Genomic DNA, 19301 nt, shown 5'->3' with positions numbered 1-19301 from the left:
TGAGACCACTTTTGTATGCCACTACTTTCGGCTAATTTTTTAAGGTTTTTGTAGAGACAAGGTCACACTATATTGCCCAGGCTGGTCTTGAACTCCTGGGCTCAAGTGATCCTCCCTTTTTGGCCTCCCAAAGTGCTGGGATTACAGGAGTGAGCTATTGTGCCCTGCCAACTCTACTCTAATTGTAACTTAAGCCTCCAAAGTGGAATGAAGAATGAATGCCAAATTTGCTTTATAATAAGGGAGAAAAAAAACACACTCAATTATAAGCAATCTTTACATTTCTTCCTCTATTCACTTGTATACATTGTCTATTTTACTTAAAGGAAAAGTTCTTTATATTCATTTTAATTTACTAAAACTTTGTTTCATGCCTACTTTTGGCTTTTTCCTGGTTGATTCTCCAAACAATGAGACACAGTGTCCGTCCTCATAGAGCTGACAAATTTGTGATGAGAAATGAAAAAAACGTTGGTTTTCTAAAGATTCTCTGGAGGCAGAAACAGGATTGTGACACACACAGAATTGTGGGGCTTCTAGGCACATCTCTTCCCAGTAGTGCTTTGCCAGCCCCATAGTGTCTGCCTCTGTGCAGTGGTAGGTTGCTGGTCATCCGGATGTTCTGACCCTGGAAAATGCTGCCGTCTCCGGCTCTTTCTCTGTATGGTCCAGCTCACTGCTCATTTGAGCCATTTATTCCCACAGCTTTCCTCCACTTTCACAAGAGGAAAAAGCATCCATTATCCCTAACTCTGTTATACTCTCACACATTGATTACAAAGCAGAGGTACTTTGTGTTTTCCCTGCTTTATAGGAATGCTTCAAATTATAAATTGTAAAACTTAAAATTGTAAAAAAAAAAAAAGTAGACAAATAAAAACAAAACTCATTCACTTTTTATATTGCAACTCCTCTTTTTTTTTTTTTTTGGAACTTCCACTAGACTTTAAGTTAAGCTCCCTGAGGTCAGGGACTGGGTCTCTCTTATTTCATCTGCTGCTGCCTATGTCCAGTGCAGAGCCTGGTCCATATTAGTCACTCAATAAATATTTTGTTAAATGCAAATGGATGACTCCATGACTCAGGCATGCATCCCTGTGAACGTGGCCAAGGACAAGCTGAGTGGCAGACACCATGCCGTACTAGAAATTATCCCTTCTTCTGACACTGGCTGACTTTCCTTGGAACGTGTTAGTGTGACTTGGCCCTCTCTTCCCTCAGGATGAGTTCATTTCCCAAGAGGCTTCTCAGACCCTCATGTAAGTAGAACCTTGGCAGACCCACCCTGGGAGCCCTCCAGACTTGGCCAGGTCCTGCCTGGATCCTGGAGTGAAGGCAGCCTGGGCTCAAGCCAGGGTTCAGCTACATAAACAATGACAGCTGGGATGTCAAATGGAAGGACAAGAACTATGAGAGAGAAAAACAGTTACTCCTGACTGGGAAGGTCAAGGAAGACATCGGGCAGGTGATCAGAGGAATGCACCAGCTGCAGGAGCACAGTCACGGGGCACAGAGGAGCACAGTGTTCCTGGGGAGTGGTCAGAGGCCCGCTGTGGAGAATAACACTGGGAGACAAGAAAATAAAGATTGTTTGGGGACAGTCATGGACTTTATTCTAGAGGCCAAGAGAAGCAATTTGACCTGAGTTTGGGGAAGCATCACTATGAAGGATGGATTGAGGGGGAGAGTTGGAAAACTGCTTAAAAAGCTCCATCAATAATCCAAGGGATAGCATTGAAGATGACCAAAGCCAGGGCAATAGGACCGCAAAGTCCCCTCCACTTTCCAGTATTTACTTATTTTTGTATCCACAATACTTCCAAACCCAGTGTCAGGCCCAGAATAAGTGGTCGGGAAGTATAGAAGACTGGGTAAATAAAGCACAAATAAAGAAGACATTGGGAATGTAGAATCAATGAATCCATAGGTTGTGAGTGTAAGGGGGTTGGTGAGGGGAAGGAAGAAGATGAAGATAAAATGAGGTTTTAGGTATTATATCTATATGGTTGGAACATTCCTACAGGAGTACAAGGGAAAGCAGAAGCAGATGGTGTTTGAGAGGATTATGACAACCTCTAATGAAGACTTACTTGGTGGCAGGCATACCTCTAAATACCTTCCGTGTAGTAACTTATTTCATCCATATGATAACCTTATGCGGCGGATACCATTATTCTTTGACAGATGAGGACACCAAGGCACAGGCAGGTAAGATAACCTCCTGAAGCCACACAGCTAACAAGTGGCACAGGCAGAATTTGAATTTTTGTCTCTTGGTTTGGTACCTGTTGTATTGCAGATACCTGTGAAATGCCTGTGGTTAAATTTCGCAGGCCTAGAAAGACAGCCTGCATGCAGCTTTGCAGATGCTCTTTTAGGTCCTTTGGTGTCAATGTCAGTTCTGTAATTCTAACTAGGTCTATTAGTCATGGTCCTTCAGAGAAACAGAATCAACAGGATGTATATGTATGTATATGTATATTCATCCTGTTGTAAATGCGTGTATCTATATATCTAATCTATATCTATATCTAATCTAGATCTATATCTTGAGAAAGAGAAAGAGAGAAACACAGGGACAGAGAGACATTATTTTAAGGAATTGACTTATGTGACTGTGGAAGCCAGCAAGTCTAAAATCTGCAGGGGTGGGCTGGCAGGCTGGAGATGCAGGGAAGAATTGAACTTTGGTCCGAAATCCACCTTCTCCCAGGGAGGGCAGTCTTTTCTACTAATGTCTTCAGCTGAGTGGATGAAGCCCACTGCATTATGGAGAACAGTCTGCTTTACTCAAAGTCTACTAATTTAAATGTTAACCTCATCTAAAAAATAGCTTCAGAGAAACATCTAGAATAATGTTTGACCAAATATGTAGATACTGTGGCTTGGCCAAGTTGATCCATAAAATTAATTAATCATCACACTAGGGCTCAGAAATAGGGACTTCAATGAGCCTCGTAGGTGGCAAGTGCTGAGCTCCCACTGTAGTAGCCTTTGTGGAAGCAGGCATTGAAGTGTGAATCATTCCTTGATGAATTTGGAAAATTTTAGCCTTGGATTATCAATGCTGATCATCTTTAGAACAATATATCTAGGCCGGGTGCAGTGGCTCACGCCTGTAATCCCAGTACTTTGGGAGGCTGAGGCAGGTGGATCACCTAGGTCAGGAGTTCGAGACCAGCCTGGCCAACATGGCAAAACCTGGTCTCTATCAAAAATACAAAAATTTGCCAGGCATGGTGGTGGCGCGCCTGTAATCCCAGCTACTCGGGAGGCTGAGGCAGGAGAATGGCTTAAACCCGGGAAGGGGAGGTTTCAGTGAGCCAAGATCATGCCACTGCACTCCAGCCTGGGTGACAGAGTGAGACCCTGGCTCACTGCAATAATCATGGAAGTGTGGATATCTCTTTGATACACTGATTTCCTTTCTTTTGGGTGTATACCTATGAGTAGGATAGCTGGATAATATGGCAGCTCTATTTTTAGCTTTTTTGAGGGACCTCCAAACTGTTCTTCATGGTGATTGTACTAATTTACATTCCCACCAACAGTGTATGAGGGTTCCTTTTTCTCCACATCCTTGCCAGCATTTGTTATTGCCTGTCTTTTGGATAAAAGCCATTTTAACTGGGATGAGATAATATTTTATTGTAGTTTTGATTTGCATTTCTCTGATGATCAATGATGTTGAGTACCTTTTCATGTGTCTGTTTACCATTTGTATGCCTTCTTTTGAGAAATGTCTATTCAAATCTTTTGCCCATTTTAAAATCAGATGATTTGTTTTTTTCCTGTAGAGTTGTTTGAACTCCATATATTGTGGTTACACTTGTCAGATGGGTAGTTCACAAATATTTTCTCTAGTTCTGTGGGTTGTCTTTTTACTTCGTTGTTTCCTTTGTTATGCAGAAGCTTTTTAACTTGGTGTGATCCCATTTGTCCATATTTACTTTGGTTGCTTGTGTTTGTGGGGTATTACTCAAGAAATCTTTGCCCAGACCTATTTTTATTTATCTACTTATTTTTAGAGACAGGTTCTCACTTTGTTGCCCAGGCTGGGGTATAGTGGTGCAATCATGGCTCACTGAAGCGGTAAACTCCTGGGCTCGAGTGATCTTCCCACCTCAGCCTCCCAAACAGCTGGGACCACAGGTGCACACCACTGTGGCTGGCTAATTCTTTTTTAAAAGTTTTTTTTTAGAGATCTATCTTACTATGTTACCTAGGCTGGGTCTTGAACTCTGGGCCTCAAGCAATCCTTCTGCCTTGGCATCCCACAGTGCTAGGATTACAGGGCTGGGCCACCATGTCTGGCCTCCAATTTATTATGGTAGTAAAAAGAAGGCTGTTTTAGATCTGTGGAGTGCATTTCCATCCCACTAGAAGTATATGAGTTTTGTGCCTGACCCAGACTTCTCAGGTAATAGTGAGCAGCACCAGCCATCATAGGCAGCCAGGCAAGGCCTAAGCTAAAGTCTTATCCCAGCTTGATCTTAGCATCAAGTTACTTTCTTCTTCTGAATCAAAACATTCATATTCCCACATATTTTCTCTGTGAGCATTTTTGATGAATATTTATTGGCCTGGGTTATATTGCCTTCTTCCCCAGTATATATTTACTGGGGCTAGCACTTTTAAATTTTCAGAAACTACCACAAGTATTGACATTTATTTTCCAGGCTCCAAGAAAATATTATCTATGCTGTTTGGAAAGACATTATTTGGTGTCTGGTTAGTTAAGAAATGGAGACATTGAAATCTGACCTTAATTTGGGCTCCTAAACTCCTTTTTGAGAGTATAATTTTTATTTGTGTATAAGAATATTTTAAAAAGAAAAGTATATTTAGGCTTTACATAGTACATTATAAACATGAATTTATTCTTTCTTATATTTTGAGTAGAGTCAGTAAAACCCTTAAAAGGGTAAATTGGCCTAAATTATTCAGTGGTCAAACCAGGAATTAAACCTTCGTCTCCAGATTCCCCAACCAGGGCACTCTAGCAGGCAGTGGTGGACTGGCTGACATCCAGGGAGGTCTGATGGAAAGAGCACAGACTTTGGAGTCATGGGTTCAAATCTCTGCCCTACCCTTTACCAGCCGCATACATTTGGACAAGTTACTTGATGTCTCTGAGCCTTATTTACCTCATTGGTCAAACATACGCCCATCAAGGGTTTTTTTTGTGAGCACTCAATGAGTTAACTATATGTGTCTGGCACAGAACACGCATACAATGTCTGTGCCCTTATTCTCTTGCCTTTGGTTAATAATCCTATGCATGCTTCTCTCACAGAGGATAAATGTTTCTCGTTTTGGATCACTCAGGAAAAACCCTGCTCTGAAGATAAGGAAAAATGTCCACTGATTTTTTTGCAAGTTATCTTGGACTCTATTAATAATACATTCTCTGGTATTATTTATGAAATAACTTTGTATAACATGTATTTGAGCAGTATTTCCCACTAAACACTAATGCACTTAAAAAAAAGCACTTTTTACCTATTACAATCCCGCTTTTCTATCCTTGATAACAGAAGTTGCAATATAGATTCTTTTTTTTCTTCCTTCCTCCTCCTCTTCACCTCTGGGGCCCACAGGGGTACTCAGGAAAGAATTTACTTGGTTTTCTCTTTGGTTCATTGTTAAATTTGGGATTAGAAACACTCATAAATAGAATATTAAAAGTTTCCCCAACCATACAGGATGATGCTCAGGAGCCACACTTTTAGCCACACTAAAAAGTAGAGTAGGGTGTAAAGAAAATCTAGACAGGAGTTCCTTTCTGGTGGATCTGAATGAATCTGTATGTGCCCTGTCACTTAAGACATATCTAATCAGGAAAACTATCAAAATAAAACAATTACAATTACAATTTATTTAATAATAATATCTACCATTTATTAAGTATTTACTAAGTACAGGAGATGTGATAAGCATTTTATATGCTTTAACTTATTTAAAGGCAAGGCTACTATTATTCTCAAGTTACAGGTGAGGAAAATAAGATTTATTCAAGCTTGCACAGCTTGTAGTAAGTGGCAGAGCTAGGCTCTGAATCACCAAGCATATCTTCTGTCTTCCAGTAACAATAACTATCATTCTTGGAGACCTGATGATGTGTCAGGCATTATGCTAATTTCTATTCATACATTATCATAACATTCCCATGATGTAGGCATTAATATCTTCATTTTAGAGTTAAAAAAACTGAGACATTCTAATTATATTAATGACTTATTAACTTGTACTTCAATCATGTGTCTGCACATTGATAAATGACGTTCATAATTTGAGGTATTGTTAAATCTTTAAAAGTATTTAAAACAAAAATAATTAAATGAAAGTAATTGATATATGTGCTTAAAAACAAAGTAGAACAAGGAGCTTGTAATAAAAAGTCATAGTCCCTAGCTCCACTGATCTCTACTCCACATTCATTCTCCAGAAGCAATCAATTTCAACAGTTTCCTTGTGTTCTTTTGGGATATCTATCCATAAATCTAGAAAATGTATTTACAGAATTAGTTCTTAATTTATCCAATTTAGACATTTTCTGTTGATAATTTAGCTCACTCATATTCTTACCTCATCCACCCTTATTCTCCTCTAGATACAGTTGTATCTCTATATTCAATTTCAAAAACAAATTTAAACCTTCGTTTCTTTTTTATTCCTTTTTTGGGCTGGAGGATGTCTTCCTGTAACTTCTTAAGAAAAAGTGACTCTTTTCCTTGATATATTTTTGGATGATCAAATAAGGCTTTTATTTTTTCTTTTCTGATTGATTATTTGACTAGGTATAAAATTCTAGGTTGAAAATATTTTTTTCTCTAAAATTGGAAGGCTTTGAGGTAATACAAGTAAGATAGGAATAGGAGTTTTCAGCCGTCATGCTCCCCATAGAAACACTTATTCTGACAATCACCCGTGGATGAGAGTACTCAAGAGTCCAGTAGAGGAGTCCAATGGAGAAATCCCTGTGCCTGTTGGAACAAACAAACAAAAAATCAAGAATAGATGTATTGAAGAGGCTAAGAAAAACAGTTTTGAACACTTTACCCACATCATCTATCCAATGTGGCACACCTTGGTGCCAAGAGAAACTCCTTCAGCCTGCAATTTCTCCAACAGGGGAATGTGACAGCATAGTGAGAACTGGCTTCCCCAACCATGCAGGATGATGCTCAGGGCCACACTTCCGTCTTGTTCCACTCAGATCACTGGGAATATCAGCATAGCTGAATAATCATGGGATAGCAAGGAGCAGAGGAAAAAGGTGGGGGCTCACAACAAGTGGGGAGTGGAATTCAACAAAGGGCCATGGTTTCTACTAACTGCCTCAAGAACTTCACTAAGAGGACTGCCCACAAACCTCATAGAACACATCACCTGCAGCTCCCCTAACTGGCCAACATGCATCCCCAGCACTCCAAGCCCCCCACTCCTGTAGCTGGCATCTCATGCATGCCCTTACAGATGGTGCATGTGAGTCTCTGCAAATTATGCACAAACACATGCAGACAGCCAGATCAACTCTGCAGGATTGGCAGAAGGTGTAAAGGTGTTTGATCTTAAACACTTCAGGGAACTGCCCCAGGGAAAATAAATGGGAGGCTCACTGCACCTGGCCTGCCTTTGTGGGACCAAAAGAAGACATACAATTCTAAGACCCACCCCCCACCCCACCAACCAAATAGGGGCAAGAGAAGTGAAGCAGGTACATCCATAAAAAAGGTCTGAGTGACCCCAGAATTCCTAGCTGGGCTGACTGGTGCAGGTCCTTCTATCCTGAAGTCAGCCAGCAAAGACTGAAGGATGTCACTGCTTCTTCACATGTAAAGAGAGCAATGTAAGACTTCAAGAAACACAAAAACAAAAAATCAAGGAAGCACGACATCACCAAACAGCACAGTAATTTTTCAGTAACCAACCCCAAATAAATGGATATCTAGACATTACCTGATGAAGAATTCAAAATACTTGTTTTAAGGAAGCTCAGCAAACTACAAAATAAAACAGAAAACTCAGTAAATTCAGGAAAACAATACACGAACAAAGCTAGAAGATGAGCAAAGAGAAATGTAAAAAAAAAAAATTAAATTCTGGAGCTGAAAAATACAATGAGTGAAATGAAAAGAGCAATAGAGAGCTTCAACAGCAGACTTGATCAAACAGAAGAAAGAATTTGTAAACTTCAAGGTAGGTCATTTGAAATTACCCAGTCAGAAGGGGGGAAAAAAGAAATGAAAAAGAGTGAAGAAATTCTGCAAATTTATGGGACACCATCAAGTGAACCAATATATACAATTAGGAAGTCCCAGAAAAAAGAAGCAGGAAAGAGGGCAGAAGGCTTATTTAAAGAAATGAAGGCTAAAACTTTCCAAATTTTAGGAGCGATATGAACACCCAGGTTCATGAAGCTCCAGTGTCCCCAGTAGAATCAACCCAAAGAAGATTACACCAAGACATATTATAATAAAGTTGTCAAAAGTTAAAGACAAAAAGATAATCTTGAAAGCAGAAAGAGAAAAAACAACTTGTAACATATGAGTAAACCCCCCTCCATAAGGCTATAAGCAAATTTATTGGCAGAAACCTTGCAGGCCAAGTAAGAGTGGGATGATATATTCAAAGTGCTGAAAGAAAAAAATTGCCAACCAAGAACACTATACCTGGCATAGCTGTCCTTCAGAAATAAAGGAGAGCTATTTTCCCAGACAAACAGAAGCTGAGGGAATTCATCACTACTAGACCTGCCTTATGAGGAATGATAAAGGAAGTTCTTTAAGTTGAAATGAAAGAATGCTAATTAGTAATATGAAAATATATTAAAGCATAAAACTCACTGGTAAAGGTAGGCATATAGTAAACTTCAGAATACTAAAATACTATAATGGTGGTGTGTAAATAACTTTTAATTCTAGAACAAAAATTGACAAAAGTATTAAAAATAACTATAGCTAAAATAATTTGTTAATGGGTACACAATAGAAGATGTAAATTGTGACATCAATAACATAAAATGCGTGTATGTAGAAGTAACAGTGTATAGTTTTCTGTGCAATTGAAATTGTTATTAACTTAGAGTAGATCATTATAATTATATGGTGTCTTATGCAAGCCTTATGGTAACCATAAAGGAAAAACCTCTAGTAGAGACACAAAAGATAACAAGAAAGGAATCAAAGGATACTACCACAAAAATAAACAAACCATAAAGCAAGACAGCAAGAGAGGAAAAAAGGAACAACAAAAGTCATAAAACAATGACCAAAATGGTAATAGTAAGTCCTTACCTATCAATAATTATTTGAAATGTAGATGAATTATTCTCTAATAAAAGAGCTGGAGTGGCTGAATGGATAAAAAACAAGATTGAACAAAATGCTGTCTACAAGAGATACATTTTAGCTTTAAGGATACAGATAGGATTAAAATGAAGGGATGGAAAAGACATTCCATGCAAATGATAACCAAAAGAAAGCATGAATGACCATACTTACATTAGACAAAATAGACTTTAAATCAAAAACTGACACAAGATGCAAAGGAGGTCATTATATAATGGCAAAGGGATAAATTCATTAAGAGGATGTAGCAATTATAAAATATATCACCCAACACTGGAGCACATAAACATATAAAGCACATGTTAACAGATTTGAAGGGAGAAATAGAGTAATAATAGGGAACTTCAGTACCCCCATTTCAACAATTAATAGATAATCTAGACAGAAAATCAATGAGAAAACAGTGGACTTAAATCATACTGTAGACCAAATGGCCCTAACAGACATATACTGAACATTCCATCCAACAGCAGAAAAATACTCATTCTTGTTAAGCACACACACAATTTTCTCCAGGACAGATCATACGTTTGACCACAAAACAAGTATAAATACATTTGAGAAGACTGGAATTATATCAAGCATATTTTCTAATCACAATGGTATAAAACTAGACATCAATAACAAAAGGAAAATTAGAAAATTCATGAATATGTGTCCATTAAATAACACACTCCTGAACAACCAATGGATCAAAGAAGAAATCAAAAGGGAAATCAAAAAATACCTTGAGTTAAAAATGGAATATACCAAAACATGAGATACAGCAAAAGCAGTTCTAAGAGGGAAGCTTATCATGACAAAAGTCTACATTAAAAATGAAGAAATCTTAAATAAACCACCTAACTTTACACCTCGAGGAACTAGAAAAAGAAGAACAAACTAAGTCCAAAGTTAGCAGAAAAGGCTGGGCGTGGTGGCTCATGTCTGTAATCCCAGCACTTTGGGAGGCTGGAGGCAGGCAGATAACTTGAGGCCAGGAGTTCAAGACCAGCCCGGCCAACATGGTGAAACCCCATCTCTGCTAAAAACACAAAAATTAGCCTAGTGTGGTGGCACATGTAATCCCAGCTACTCAGGAGGCTGAGGCAGGAGAATCGCTTCAACCTGGGAGGTGGAGGTTTCAGTGAGCTGAGATCGTGCACTGCACTCCAGCCTGGGTGACAGAGCAAGACTCTGTCTTTTTTAAAAAAAAAAAAAAGGTTAGCAGAAAGAAGGAAATAATAATGATTAGAGAAGAAAAAAATGAAATACAGACTAGAAAAACAACAGAAAACATCAATGAAACAGAGTTGGTTTTTTGAAAAGATAAACAAAATTGACAAATCTTTATTTAGGCCAACCAAATAAAAGCAAGAGAAGATTCAAATAAATAAAACAATGAATGAAACAGGAGACATTATAATGGATAACACAGAAATAGAAAAGAGCATAAGAGACTACTATAAACAATTACATCCCAATTAATAGGATAACCTAGAAGAAATAAGTAAAATAAAAATCCTAGAAACAACGTATCCGGGAACCTGCCCTGAAAATCATGTAGGTTCTTTTCTAGTTTCCCTAAGCATTGGCTGGCTTGAGAAATAAAGGGACAGAGTACAAAAGAGAGAAATTTTAAAGCTGGGCGTCCGGGGAAGACATCACACGTTGGTAGGATCCGTGATGCCCCACAAGCCACAAAAACCAGCAAGTTTTTATTTGGGATTTTCAAAAGGGGAGGGAGTGGGCAAATAGGTGTGGGTGACAGACATCAAGTACTTAACAGGGTAATAGAATATCACAAGGCAAGTGGAGGCAGGGCGAGATCACACCACAGGACTGAAGCAAAATTAAAATTGCTAATGAAGTTTCGGGCACCATTGTCATTGATATCATCTTATCAGGAGACAAGGATTTGAGATCAACCGGTCTGACCAAAATTTATTAGGAGGGAATTTCCTCTTCCTAATAAGCCTGGGAGCGCTATGGGAGACTGGAGTCTATCTCATCTCTGCAATCTCGACCATAAGAGACAGGTATGCCCCTGGGGGGCCAGTTCAGAGACCTACCCCTAGGTGCGCATTCTCTTTCTCAGGGTTGTTCCATGCTGAGAAGAAGAATTCAGCGATATTTCTCCCATTTGCTTTTGAAAGAAGAGAAATATGGCTCTGTTCTGCCCGGCTCACTGGCGGTCAGAGTTTAAGGTTATCTTTCTTATTCCCCGAACAATTGCTGTTATCCTGTTCTTTTTTCAAGGTGCTCAGATTTCATATTGCACAAACACACATGCTGTACAATTTGTGTGCAGTTAATGCAATTATCACATAGTCCTGAGGTGACATACATCCTCCTCGGCTGACAGGCACAGGAAATCACAAGGGTATTGATTGGGGAAGTGATAAGTGTCCATGAAATCTTTACAATTTATGTTTAGAGATTGCAGTAAAGACAGGCATAAGAAATTACAAAAGTATAAATTTGGGGAACTAATACATGTCCATAAAATCTTCACAGTCCACGTTCTTCTGTTATGGCTTCTGTCAGGCCTCTGAGCCCAAGCCAAGCCATCGCATCCCCTGTGACTTGCACATATATGCCCAGATGGCCTGAAGTAACTGACGAATCACAAAAGAAGTGAATATGCCCTGCCCCACCTTAACTGATGACATTCCACCACAAAAGAAGTGTAAATGGCCGGTCCTTGCCTGAACCGATGACATTACCTTGTGAAAGTCCTTTTCCTGGCTCATCCTGGCTCAAAAAGCATCCCCACTGAGCACCTTGTGACCCCCACTCCTGCCCGCCAGAGAACAAACCCCCTTTGACTGTAATTTTCCTTTACCTACCCAAATCCTATAAAACGGCCCCACCCTTATCTCCCTTCACTGACTCTCTTTTAGGACTCAGCCCGCCTGCACCCAGGTGATTAGAAGCTTTACTGCTCACACAAAGCCTGTTTGGTGGTCTCTTCACACGGACTCGCATGAAAGCTTCAGCTGGTCCCTCCGTTTGGGGTCCCTGACTTCCCACAACACATATGATCTACTAAGACTGAATTATGAAGAAATGGAAAATCTGAACAGACCAATAATGAGTAAAGAGATTGAATCAGTAGTCAAAAACCTCCCAACAAAGAAAAGCCCAAGATTAGATGATTACCCTGGTAAATTCTACCAAACATTTAAAAAGGGAATTAATACCAATCCTTCCCAAACCTTTCCAAAAAACTGAAAAGGAGAGAACACTTCCAAACTGATTTTACAAGGCCAGAATTATCCTGATACCGAAACCAGACAAGGAAACACAAGAAAAAATTTCAGGTCAATGTCCCTGATGAACTTAGATGCAGAAGTCCTCAACGAAACACTAGCAAGCTGAATTCAACAGCACATTAAGAGGATCATACATCATGATCAAGTGGCATTTATCCCTGGGATGCAAGGACGATTCAACATACTCAAATCAATAAATGCAATACACCACATCAATGGAATAATGAAAAAAAATCACAAAATCATTTCTCTAGAAAAACTATTCGACAAGATTCAACATACTTTCATGATGAAAACTCTTAACAAATTAGGCATAGAAGGAATTTACCTCAACATAATAAAGGCCATATAAGACAAACCTGCAGCTAACGTCATACTCAACTGTGAAAAGCTGAAAGCTTTTCCCCTAAGATCAGGAACAAGACAAGGGTGCCCACTCACATCACTTCTATTTAACATAGTGCTGAAAATCCTAGTCAGAGCAATTAGGCAAGAAAATAAAGAAAAGTCATCCAAATTGGAAAGGAAGAAGTGAAATTGTTTTTGTTTGCAGATAACATAATCTGTCCTAGTTTGTTTTCTATTGCTTATATCAGAATACCTGCAACTGAGTAATTTATAAAGAAAAGTAATCTATTTCTTATAGTTATGGAGGCTGAGAAGTCCAAGGCTGAGGGGCTGCATCTAGTGAGGATCTTCTTGCTAGTGGGGAGTCTTGAGTGTTGAGGTGGCTCAGGGTATCACATGGTGAGGAGCTGAGTGGGCTAGCTCAGGTCTCTCTTCTTCTTCTTATAAACCCACCAGTCCCACTCCCATGATAATCCATTAATCCACAAATGGATTAATCCATTCATGAGGGCAGTGCCTCAATGAATACATTTATTCCAACCTCACAGCTCCAAAGTCTTAACTCAGTGCAGCATCAAATCTGAAGTCCCAAGTCCAGAGTCTCACCTGTGAGCCTGTGAAATCAAAACAGCTTATCTACTTCTAAGACACAGTAATGGTGCAGGCATAAAACAGACATTCCCATTCTAAAAGGGAGAAATAGGCAAAAGAAAGGAGTAACAGACTCCAGGCAAGTCGGAAACCTAGCAGGGCAGACATTACATTTTAAAGCTAGAGAATAATCTCTTTTGACTCCATATGGCACTTCCTGGACACACTGTGGTGGGTTTGGGCCCCCAAGGCCTCAGGCAGCCACCTCCACCCTCTGCATGGCTTTGCTGATCTCTTCAATAAATGGCGCTGCAAAATGCACCATTTATTGAAGAGATCAGCAGAAGAATGAATTTAGAACCTTATCTCACACGGTATACAAAAATCAACTCAAAATGGTTTAAAGACTTGAACATAAGACCTGAAATGGTAAACCTATTAGAAGAAAACAGAGAAAAGGCCCCATGACATTGCTTTGGGCAATGATTTTTTTTTTTTTTTGCTATGAACCCAAATGCACAGGCAATAAAAGTAAAAATAAACAAGTGGAATTGAGGCGGAATTGGTAGTCAAGGAAGTGACCAAGTTCTTGGTGACCCTGCAGTCAACACAATAAGTCAACACAATAAACCTCAGCATCAGCATTCACATTGCAATTGAGTTCATTAGGGCAAAGCTATCTTCAGTAGGGACTTTCCCCTCTAGAGAGCATGGTGCATTTTGATTTTACCTGTTCTCAAACTTACCCTTTGCTCATTATAATAGTAAAAAACACACCCCTGGGTGGAGATTTAAGATGCTAATAAGACATGTGATGTATGAACAAGTATGTACAGCTACTGCACATGTGCACCCAGAGGACCACCCAGAACGTGCTTACTAGTAACCCTCTTTCCACCTCCTTATAAATAATCATGTAAGACCCCCATAAAGGGAGTCTCCTTAGAGCCAGTCTTTGCTATATCATTCTTACAAGCAGTCCACCCTGAAATTCTCTCTCTCTCAGGGTGTACTGCCTATTCTGCACCTAACTTTCAAAATATTATTTTTCCTTTGCAGTACAATTACTCTGTGCTGCTTCTCCTTTGCTGTATGTCTCTTGTTTAAATATGTTTAAACTAAGAAGACAAGAATCGAGATATCACATCAGCCATCAACTTAATTGCATCAAACTAAAAAGCTTCTGTATAGCGAAGAAAAGTATCAATAGAGTGAAGAGACAACCTATGGATTTGGATATTCATCTGATAAGGGGTTAGTATTCAAAGTATATAAGAAACTCAAGCAATTCAATAGCAAAATCCAAATGACCCAATTGAAAAATGGGCAAAGGACCTGAATAGACGTTTCTCAGAAGACACACAAATAACCAACAGGTATATGAATGGGTGCTCAACATCATTAATCATCAGAGAAATGGACATCAAAACTAAATGAGATATCACTTCACACCTGTTAGAATGAGTATTACAAAAAAGACAAAAGATTGGCGAGGATGTAGATAAGAGGAGAACCCTTGTATACTCTTGGTGGGAATGTAAATCGTTACAACTATTATGGAAAGCAATACGGAAGTTCCTTAAAAATTTAGAAATAAAACTACCATGTGATCTAGTAATCCCACTTCTGGATATATATCCAAAGGAAAAGAAATCAGTTTCTTAATGAGATATCTGCATTCTCATGTTCGTTGCAACATTATTCAATAGAGCCAAGATATGGAAACAAGGTAAGTGGCTGTTGATGGATGAATGGATAAAGAAAACATTATATATAGAATAGATTACATAATTATATATAGATTATATATTTATATATTAGATATAACATATATAATTATATATTAATTAACATATTTAATATATTTATAGAAATTAATTTATATAAGTATAAATTAATATAATGAATTATAAGTATATTAATTAATATACTTATTAATTACATAATATAAATATATTATGATTATATATACTTATATAAATATATAATTATTATATATTGTGTAAATATATAAATACATATAATCTACTATATATAATGTTTTCTTCGTTCATCAAGAGATGGGTTGTTTCCATATGTTGGCGATATTGACCAATGCTTCAATGAATATGATAATGCAGATATCTCATCAAGAAACTTATTTCATTTCCATAAAAATATAACATAGTATATTTAATTATATATAATTATAATATATTTATATAATTATATAAATGTATACTTATATATAATTCAATATTTATATAATTATATATAATTCAATATTTATATAATTATATATAATTCAATATTTATATAATTATATATAATTCAATATTTATATAATTATATATATAATTCAATATTTATATAATATATTTAACATATATTTATATAATTATATATTATATATAATTTTTGTATATATAAAATATTCAGTCTTAAAAAGAAGACAATCTTGCCATTTGTGACAACACGAATAAACCTGAAGAACGTTGTTAAGTGATACAAGCCACATACAGAATGACAAATACTGCATGATCTCATATACGGAGTCTAAAAAATTTGAACTCATAAAAGCAGAGCATAGAATGATGGTTACTAGGGGCTTAGGGTGGAGAAAGTGGGAGACATTGTTTAAAGGGCACATCGTTTCAGTTATTCAGAATAAATACATTCTGGAGATCTAATGTACAGCATGGTATTATAGCTAATAATATTGTATTGTATACTTGAAATTTGCTAAGAGAATAGATCTTAGCATTTAAACAGTAAAATGTTCTCACCACAAAAAATCAAAATGGTGACTGTGTGGTGATGGATATGTTAGTCAGCTTCATTGTGGTCATTTCACAATGTATATGAATATCAAACATCATGTTATACACCTTAAATATATACAATTCTTATTTGTCAATTATACCTTAATAAAGCTGGTTAAAAGAATCCACATGTACTGACTTTTAGATAATTTACATTTGCTACCTTATCATCGCATTGGATTTTTTTGTTACTAATATTTTTAATCATGTAACTCCTAAGGTTGACAAATCGAATGATTGTTAAACTAAATTAACCCCGAATAAGTTTAATAAGTTTCTATGTAAGAACAACAAAAAAGAAATTTGAAGGCTTTGTTGTATTGTTTTCTAGTATCCAGTGCTGCTGATGAGAAATCTGATGCTGATTTGATTCTCATTCCTTTATAGATGACCTGCTTTTTCCTCTTTAAATATTTTTTATCTTTATTGTTTTAAGATTTTATGTGCATACATCTAGTTGGCAGTCTTTTTAAATTTATCCTACTCAGAACATGCTAGTCCTTTCATTCTGAAGACTCGCATCTTTCTTGACTTACAGGTGGTTCTCTTCAATTAGTTATTTAATGATTATCTCCCATGCGTATTCTCTGTTTTTGTCCCTGAAGCTTGTATTAGTTTGTATTAGAATATATCGGCTTGATCGTCTTCATATTTCCTATTTTCGTATGAGTGTGTGTGTGTGTCCACATGCATATGTATATTTGTATACCTTTTGAGAGTTTTCTTCAACTTCACCTCCCAACTCTTCCATTAAACTTTTTATAATGACAATTATATTTTTAGCTTTGGATTCTACTGCTTCCCTGATTATATGATTTTTTCTTTTTTTTTTTCATTAAACCACCATCTTGTTTTTGTTTAAAGACAATCTTCTCAACTCTATAATCTGTCAACATTTTAAAAAGGGTCTTTTCCTCTTCCCCTCCTCTTCCTCCTTCTGCTCCTCCCTCCTCTTTCTCTTCTTTTTTTCTCTTTCTCACTCTCTAGCTCTCTGTCTTAATATTTCACTTTCATGTTGCAGGTTTTCTCACGCATGTGGACAGAAGGGTTGTTTAGGAGCTCCTTTTATATTAGTATGGCTTCTTGACAGGCAGACTTTGCTTTAGTGTGAGTCGCTAGAGAGCTAAGCCAACACAGGAGAGGAGGGTAGATGCTAGATTTGGGAAGACTTTTTTCTGGAGCACTAATACTTGTCTCAGTCACCTTACTTTTCTGACATTATGTTCAATTTCCTTGAACAAGAACCTTCTGAGTTTTTCCTGGATTAAATGCCTACTCTATAGGCAGTTTTTTTGCGAAGGGGTAGGAGAAGAGCAGGATGTACTTGTTCTGTATCTAGATCTTTGGTTATAGCCCACTTTCACTGACACTTCTCACTTCCATCTCCCTGACACCTGCCGTCTTTGATTTCAGAGTCTCATTGGAATTCCTCTAGATAGACGGATCCCATCCCTGGAGAAGTGTACATTGTAAGCTTTTTTCTCATTTACCCATTACCAGACTTTCATGTATTTTTCATCTTCCACGAATTTGCTGAACTCTCTTGAGTACTCATGATCCCAGAAGCGTTCTTTAGTTATTGTGAGTTTTACATCATTTGAATGCTTTTCTCCCCCTATCATTTTAATAGAGCCCAGGAGGGAGAGGAAATAAATATTCTCAGCCTATCAGATTGAACTGGAAACTCCTTCACTCCCTTTGGGAATTTATTAATTCACCAATACTTATTGAAGTATTGGCAGAAAAGATACAAAATTGAATCAGACATAGATTTTCAAAATCTAGAGGGAGACATGTTTAACAAATAATTATGTTGCAATGTTAGAAGTGATGTAATAAAAGCTCGTATAAGACACTAAATATCACAGAAGAAAGAACAATTTATTCTATTGGCAGTAGAAAGGGAGTTAGAAAATAACCAAGTGTCTCCAGTAACATTCAAGAAGTTTCTACATCTCTCAGGCCATATCTGTCTGAAGATAAAGCAGTGTTATATTAACAGGAACAACCCCCTTCCACTGCCATCAGTATCTCCAGAGACAATCTAGGATACAGACAAGGGTGCAGGTAGTTTTGGGGAGACCATCCCAGGAAGCAGCGAGAAAGTAGGGAGGATGAGACAGGGAAGGGAGAAAATCCAATAAAGTTGCTTTATTGAGCTGGTTGTTTCAGTGAAAAAATGGGGCTCCGTCCCACTGGGGATATTTTGAAGAATGTTGGAAAAGGCATCTCAGAATTATTCTTCCAATGACAGAAAGCTGGGGCACTTATCTATGGACTCTTGTACTCTGTTGGTTGATGGTAGCGTCTGGGGGTATTAATTCTCTTTCTTTTCCAGGGTGTGGCTATATGCCATCTCAGTGGCTTTCCCTGGTTTTGGAGACAGTCCCTGAGCAGAAAAGCTGGAGAGTCTTTGGTAGAAGCTTGAGTTTGGGAATCTGGCACTGCACTCAGAAGCAGAACTGCCCACCATAGCAGAGCTAAAATCAGGTGGGCTGATGGGAGTGGGAAGAAGGGGATAAAAAATGATTTGCTGCACACCTCAATCTTCGCCTCAGTGATTTCTGATAATGTGCAGGGGGACCTTGTGCGTGATTGCAAACATGTGGCTGGAGCTGTGTGCAGCAATGTCAGGTGCTAAAGCCTCTGGGTCCCCCCACACCCCGCAAAGCTTTTCACCACTATGGTCCCATTGGACTAGGGTGGCTCCTCAGTCTGATGCCCACATCTCTGCCACTCCTACTGATGCATATCACAGCCACATTGTGCCAATGTCAAACCTTTGATCCCACAAGCATTAAGGCATTGAGAGTCTGGGAAACTTCTGTAAAGTTCCAAATGTCACCTGGAAGAGGAACACCTTGATCCACTGTGATTTCTCACTGCATTATCTTAGATCAGTTGATATGTTTTGTGCCAGAGAGCAGAAAGTTCAGAATATGAAAGGAGACAGG

At 38.0% G+C, this 19301-nt stretch overlaps 2 annotated features.

The window, feature by feature from the left end:
* Window positions 10887-11834: an enhancer, noted in NCBI's record as "OCT4-NANOG-H3K27ac-H3K4me1 hESC enhancer chr4:56147005-56147952 (GRCh37/hg19 assembly coordinates)". NCBI's record gives its function as "activates a minimal SCP1, AML or CMV promoter by ChIP-STARR-seq in naive H9 embryonic stem cells {active_cell/tissue: H9 hESC(naive)}" and the evidence as "EXISTENCE:reporter gene assay evidence [ECO:0000049][PMID:30033119]".
* Window positions 11835-12782: an enhancer, noted in NCBI's record as "OCT4-NANOG-H3K27ac-H3K4me1 hESC enhancer chr4:56146057-56147004 (GRCh37/hg19 assembly coordinates)". NCBI's record gives its function as "activates a minimal SCP1, AML or CMV promoter by ChIP-STARR-seq in naive and primed H9 embryonic stem cells {active_cell/tissue: H9 hESC(naive and primed)}" and the evidence as "EXISTENCE:reporter gene assay evidence [ECO:0000049][PMID:30033119]".

This window comes from Homo sapiens, chromosome 4 (assembly GCF_000001405.40).
Source record: "Homo sapiens chromosome 4, GRCh38.p14 Primary Assembly".
Taxonomy (NCBI): Eukaryota; Metazoa; Chordata; class Mammalia; order Primates; family Hominidae; genus Homo; species Homo sapiens.
Note: the sequence above shows the minus strand (reverse complement) of the source record. Positions and strands in the feature narration are given on the sequence as shown.